Source organism: Homo sapiens, chromosome 3 (genome assembly GCF_000001405.40).
Source record: "Homo sapiens chromosome 3, GRCh38.p14 Primary Assembly".
Lineage (NCBI taxonomy): Eukaryota > Metazoa > Chordata > Mammalia > Primates > Hominidae > Homo > Homo sapiens.
The window spans coordinates 140,701,257-140,708,533 of NC_000003.12; positions in this window are offsets into that span (position 1 = coordinate 140,701,257).

The window sequence follows — 7,277 nt, forward strand, 5'->3', positions numbered from 1 at the left end:
TCAGAATTCTGTGGTGTTTTGTAGGAGCAACACCCAGCTTCTAGGTGGTAAAAAGAACACTGTATTTTGCAGTCGGGACCCCGTAGGTGTGCATTCTAATGCTGGCCTAACTAGCTTTGAATGCTTGGGCAAGTCGCTGATTGCCACGGAATTCATTACCTCACCATGTAGTCTATTTTAAGGAGCCAACATTAAAATGTTTTTCCTAATTATTGAACTTGAATTTGCCTTTTCACAACTTTCAGCCCATGGTCTGAGGTCTACCTCTAAGCCATAAAGAATGAGAGCCCTCCCTCTTCTCCTTCTGGACATAGCAAAGGAAGAACGGTAGAATGCCTGGTTAGAGGATCCTCTATGGTCATTTGAAGCAAGGCATGGAAGAATGACAAAATCATGTATCAGCTCCAACCTCACTGAACTTAGCTTGGCCTTTCAGACAATATGAAGTCCCTAGAATTTCTTGTCATACAAGGCCCTATCTGCCAGAAATGACCCTCTACTGAACCCCACGCCATTTCTTCCCAGAAAGCACCACCTGTCTTTCAAGACTCAGCTCAACCACTTTCCCCAGTGATCCTCCAAATTATGATGACAACATCTTTCTCCCCTGCATCCCCACTAAGCACAGGGACCACCTGTCCCACCCCTATTTCCCATAAAGACACCCATTCCAGCCCTGTGATACTTAGGACTCATTTGTCCTGAGTCTTAGAGCAGAGATGGTGTCTCATTCATCTTCTATCCTCAGTGCTTGGGACAGTGAGGCACACATTACATGTTAGTACCAGGAGGGACACACCACAGCTGAAAGGCAGACACATAGAATGACTCTCCTCTGAACATCCCCAGGTGCCAGTTTGCACAATGAAGGTTTACACACATAACTGGGACTGTCCATGAAAAGGACCAGGCAGTAACTGGTCTCCATTTCCTCTAATCCCAACCTTTTCATGAGCTGTGCAACTGGCAGATGTGGCCAGCCCATCTAGCTTCACCAGTAGGACTTCAGCTCTGCAACCCTTTATTTTTCATCACTGCCAGAAAAGGGCCATTCCACAAAGAGATCCATAGTGAGGATCTTCTGATAATGTGAGAAAATGAAGCTAAGCAGATTCCTGCTCCACCCCCAAGCAGTATTACAAGAAGGCATACCCCAGGGAGCTTCATTATGATCCTATTACTGTAAATGATGGCTGGAATCCACCATCAGATTTGGTATTACCATATAATCATTTCTATAAAAGTCTTCGAAATCATTATTAGCACAGAGAACGAATTAAATGACACGCCAGCAGGGATTTTACTACTAACGAACTAAAATGAAATTAAACTAAAAAAAATAGAACTCTATGAATATTACATTGCAATGATCACACCAACTCATGGTGCCAACAAGGACTAGGCTAGAATTAAATAAACCACAGCACCCTGATCTTGTCTCTCTAGAAAACATCTAAACTTGCATTCAGTGACCAAGACAGCTAGCTAGATTCTTTGAGAAGCCCACTTAACCAGTAGCTGACCCATTCTACCAAATGCAATGTGGATTTCTTAATGGCACAGAAACTGCACATTATTTGGTCCCTGAGGTTATGATTTACATAGCTTCCCTCCTCCCAGGCCCATGTCTGAGGTGCAATATATAATGTGTGCGTGTGTGTGTGTGTGTGTGTGTCAAATATAATCAAGAGATTTGTAAGTATATGTTTATTAAAAATTCCACTATGTTAAGCATATTCTCTCTGTATACAGCTACATATTTCAACATCCCTAACAGCCTTTCTTTAGAGAAGTGTCTATGGCCCTAATTAGAGATAATTAGTGGCAGTGTCTACTTGAGAACATCTTGCAGCCTGTTAGAACAGTTGCTAGCTAAATTTGTATTAGTTTTTCTTGCCCCCCTTTTCTTTTTTTTTTTTTTTGATAACCATTCTAGATTCATTCTTTCTGTTAACACATCTGTAATGAGACCAGGGGACTGTGGGGACACAGTGGAGAATTACAGAGAAAACAGTCCCCACACCATGGACGTTATAGTCTAATGAGTAAGATAAAATAAATGAAGATATAAGCATGTAGATGACTGGAAATGAGAAGTGCTAGGAAGGAAAGAGGCATGGAGCTAAGAGGTACCAACCCTAAAGAGGATGCCAGTGAAAGTCTTCTCAAAGAGATGAATTACAAGCTGCTTCCTCAAGAATGAGCAGGAGCCAGCCATGTACGAGTGGAGGAGAAAAGCATTCTGGACAGAGGGGCAATAGGTACCACAGCCCTGGGGCAGGAAAAGGCTTGGCATGTTCAGGTAACGAACACAGCTAGAGGCTGGAGTTCAGGGAATAAGGAGGGGAGAAAAACAGGTAAATGGCCTTGGCAGGACTTGTGGGCCATCACAGAGAGTAAGTGTCTCAGGAAGCTGGTGAAGGATGTGAAGCAAAATTACTTCACACTTGTATTTCCAGTTTAGTAGCATTACTTTCAGTTCCATGTGAAAATGAGTTGTGGAGGGCCAAAGGAAAAGGCAGGAAGACTGTTAATAAATTGATGGTCACCTGGGCTGGGAGGTGGGCTCCAGGAGTCAGTAGCCCTTTCTTACCAATGGGGTGCATGGGAGAGAGCAATGCCTATGAAGGATGAGGCCTGTGACTCTGGATTAAGCACTGGGTGATGGTGGATCCAGACAGTATAGAATGACAAGTTTCTGGAAAATATCAGAGTTCTGCCTTGGGTGAGTGACGTGTGAGCTGCCTGAGGAGCAGCCAAGCAGAATCAAACAGCAGCAGCTGGGTATTGTAACAGTTCAACTGAGTCAGGAAAACAGAGACCACACCAGTTATTTTAAACAGAGAGAACTGAAGATGGGGACTTGGTTAAACAGGTATTATAGGACTTTGAATAGAAAAGGGACACTGGGATAACACAGAGATGGGAACTGCAGGGAGCTGCTATCACCCCTTGGGCTGGGCTGGTGGAATGAAAGAAACAGTCTCTTAGCTGGGATCCACATCTCTGAGGAGGGATCACTGCCTGGTTGTTGCGAGTGTATCTAAGGGACTTTCATGAGGCTGGTTCTAGGGGTGTGGGAAAAAGTTGGAAACTGACAGCAACTGCCATACTGCCACTGCCCAGGAGAGACCATTGCAGTGATGGTGTCCAGAATAGTGAAAAAACAGAAAGAAGCTCTTTCCTTCTCCCCCTTCCAAGCTTGCAGTCTTCCTGTATTCCTCTTGTGTCCCCTCATTGCAGAGCCTAGTGGAGCTAACTGGCCAAGGAAAAAATGTCATCTGCAAGAGCCCAAGCCCCAGCATTGCAGACTAAGTCCAAAAATGTTTCAGAGTTAAGAGGAAACAGCTTCATAATTAGCACAATTATGCAAGGCTGGAGCCCAAAGGATAAGCCTGGGATGGGGACACAAACTCAGAAATTATCAATGGATGTACTCTGATTTTCTAGAGTACTCAAGACATTGAGTGTCCTGACCTTAGCTAGGGTCTGCAGGGTAAACCGAAAAGGCACAAAGCTAGTTCTTGTCTTCAGGTTGCTTTCCATATTAGTCCAGTTTGCCTTGCTGTAAAGAAGTACCTGAGGCTGGATAATTTATAAAGAGAAGAAGTTTATTTGGCTCACAGTTCTGTAGGTTGTACATGAAGTACAGTGCTGGCATCTGCACAGGTGAGGGCCTCAGGAATTTTACAGTCATGGCAGAAGGCCATGGCAAGAGAGGGAGCAAGAGAGAGAGAGAAAGAGAGAGAGAGGCAAAGGTGCCAGGTGCATTTAAACAACAGGAGCTCACATGAACTGTAGGGGGGCACCAAGCCATTCATGAGGGATCCACCCCCATAACTCAAACATCTACCAGGCCCCACTTTCAACAGAGGTGATTACATTTCAACATGAGATTTGGAGGGGACAAACATCCAAACTATATATCATTCTGCCTTTTGCCCCCTCCCCCTGCTGCAAATCTCATTTCCTTCTTACATTGCAAAATACAACCATCCCTTCATAATAGTCCCTCAAAGTCTTAACTCATTCCAGCATTAACTCAAAAATCCAAAGTCTCATTTGAGACTCTAGGTAAGCTCCTTCTACCAATGAGACTGTAAAATCAAAAACAAGTTTATTTACTTCCAAGATACAATGGTGGTATAGGCATTTGGTAAATATTCCTGTTCCAAAAAAGAGAAATAAGCCAAAAGAAAGGGGCTACAGGCTCCATACAAGTCCAAAACCCAGCAAGGCAGACATTATACCCTGAAGCTCTAAAATAATCCCCTTTGACACCATGTTTCACATCCAGGGCACAGTGGTGCAAGGAGTGGGTCTCCAAGGCCTGGGGCACCTCTGCCCTTGTGGCTTTGCAGGGTGCAAACCCCATGACTGCTCTCATGAGTTATAGTTGAGTGCCTGTGATTTTTTTCCAACTGAGGGTGCAAGCTGCCAGAGGCTCTACCATTCTCAGGTCTCAGGGGTGTTGGCCTCATTTATACAGCTCCACTAGGCAACACCCCAGTAGGGATTCTGTGTGAGGACTCCAACCCCACATTTCTCCTTTGCACTGACCTAGTAGAGTCTCTCTGTGAGGGCTCCACCCCTGTGGCTGGCTTCTGCCACCTCCTTCTTTTCAATACATCCTCTGAAATCCAGGTGGAAGCTGCCAAGCTTCCTTCACTCTTGCATTCTACATGCCTGCAGATTTAGCACCATGTGGAAGCCACCAAGGCTTACAGCATGTACTTTCCAAAGCAGCAGTCTGTACCTAGGGCCTTTTGAGCCATAGCTGGAGCTGGAGCAGCCAGAATGTGGGGAGCAGTGTCCTGAGTCTGAGTAGGCCAGCAGCACCCTGTGCCTGGCCCCTGCAACCATTCTTTCCTCCTAGGCCCTTGGGCCTGTGATGGGAGGGGAGGCCTGGAATATTTCTGAAATGCCTTTGAGGCCTTTTTTCCATTATCTTGGATATTAGCACTTGGCTCCCTTTTATTCATGCTAAGTGAGCTAGCAAGTGGTTGCTCCACAGCCTACTTATATTCCCCTCCTGAAAACACTCTTTCCTTCTCTATTACATGGCCAGGCTGCAAATTTTCCAAACTGTTATACTCTGCTTCCTTTTTTATTATAAGTTTCAATTTTAAGTCATTCCTTTACCCCCATATCTGATCATAGGTTGTTAGAGGCAGCCATGTCAACTCCAACTCTTGAATGCTTTGCTGCTTAGAAATTTCTTCTATGACATATCCTAGGTCATCATTCTTACATTCCAACTTCCACAAGTCCCTAGGGCATGGACACAATGCAGCCAAGTTCTTTGCTAAGGCATAACAAGAGTGGCCTTTGCTCTACTTCCCAATAAATTCTTCATTTCCATCTGAAACCTCATCAGACTGGCCTTCACTGTGCATATTTCTATCAGCATTTTGGTCACAACAACTTAACAAGTCTGTAAGAAATTCCAAACTTTCCCTTGTCCTCTTGCCTTCTTTTGAGCCCTTTAAACTCTTCCAACCTCTGTCCATTACCCAGATTCAAAGCCACTTTCACATCCTCAGTTATCTTTGTAGTAATGCCCCACTTCTCAGTACTAATGTTTTATATTAGTCTATTTTGCATTGCTATAAAGAAGTACCTGAAGCTGGGTAATTGATTAAAAAAAGAAGTTTATTTGGCTCATGGTTCTGCAAGTTGTACATGAAGTATAGTGCTGGTATCTGCACTGGTGAGGACTTCAGGAATCTTCCAATCATGGCAGAAAGTAAAGAGGAACCAGCATGTCACATGGCAAGAGAAGGAGCAAGAGAGGCAGAGGTTCCAGGCTTTTTTAAACAACCAAATCTCATATGAACTAATTACCATGGTGGCAGGGGTGGGGGCAATGTTGGGGGTGGGGGGTACCAAGCTATTCGTGAGAAGTCTGCTCCCGTGATCTAAACACCTCCCACCAGGCCTCATCTCCAACACTGGAGATTACATTTCAACATGCAATTCAGAGGGGACAAACATCCAAACTACATCACTTTCTAACCATAAGAAAACCCCGAGGACAACTAAAAAGCAATTAGGCAGTTCAATATGTGGTTTTGCCTCTGCAGCAATGTGTCTCAAACCCAGATGAGCATCAGAATCACCTATGAAGCTTTTAAAAATGTGGATTCCCGGGTCCCACACCAGACCCCATGATCAGATTCTGCAGGGTAGGGCACTGGACATCTGTATTTTCCAAAAGTCTCTGGGCAATTCTGGTTAACAGCCCTTTCCCAACCCAACAAGCATTGGGAAGCACTACCTGGTGGCCTGAATTGTTGGAAGATGGTTTTTAGCTGTAGGGCCAGAGTTAGGTTTTGAAGACTGGCAGAAATTGGATGAGGTGAGAGCCAGAAGAAAGACTGCAATGAAGAGAGGATATCATGCAAAAGAGCAGAGACGAAGCAATGAAGGGGGACATGAACACCCAGAAAATGCTCATTTATTTCCATTATTAAACTTTCAGAGTTTACTATGTGCCATATCTCCCTTTTCTTGTTTTGAGAATGCCATGGTTTGAATGTGTCCCCCAAATGGCATATGTTGGAAACTTAATCCTCAATGCAACAGTATTGAGAAGTGGGGATCTTTTGGAGGTGATTATCCATGAGGACTCTGCCCTTATGAGTGAATTGATGTTGTCATTATGGGAGTGGGTTCCTTACAAAAGGACAAGTTTAGGTGTCCCCCACCCCCTACCCCATGCTCTCTCTCACTCTCTCTCACCCTTTCTTTGCCCTTCTGCCATGTGATGCCTTCCGTCATGTTATGATGTAGCAAGAAAGCCCTCAACAGATGCCAGCCCCTGGATCTTGGACTTCCTAACTTCTAGAACTGTGAATCAATAAATTTCTGTTCATTATAAATTACCTAGTCTGTGGCATTCTGTTAAAGCAGCACAAAATGGACTAAGACAGAAAGGTAATGAGAAACATGGCTTGTGGGGAAACGTTGATGTCATTTAAACTGTAGATATCATTTCCACATTGCCCAACTCCAAAACAAATAAATAAATCCCAGATTCCACTCTATGTATGTCTAATTAATAATGTAATAAGTGCCTGAATTTAATATGGGAGCAGTAGGAGAAAAGCACGAAGAACTTCAGCGACAAGGCAGGGAATATACACAGGGAAAAAAAGATAACCTGAGTCCCAAGGTGGTGGGAGCACTGCTGCCTCTGAGCCTCCCCGCTTCTGTCCATAGCCATGTCTTCCTTGGAAAAGTATTACCAGCACACAACTCCCCTTCCCCAGTGGGGA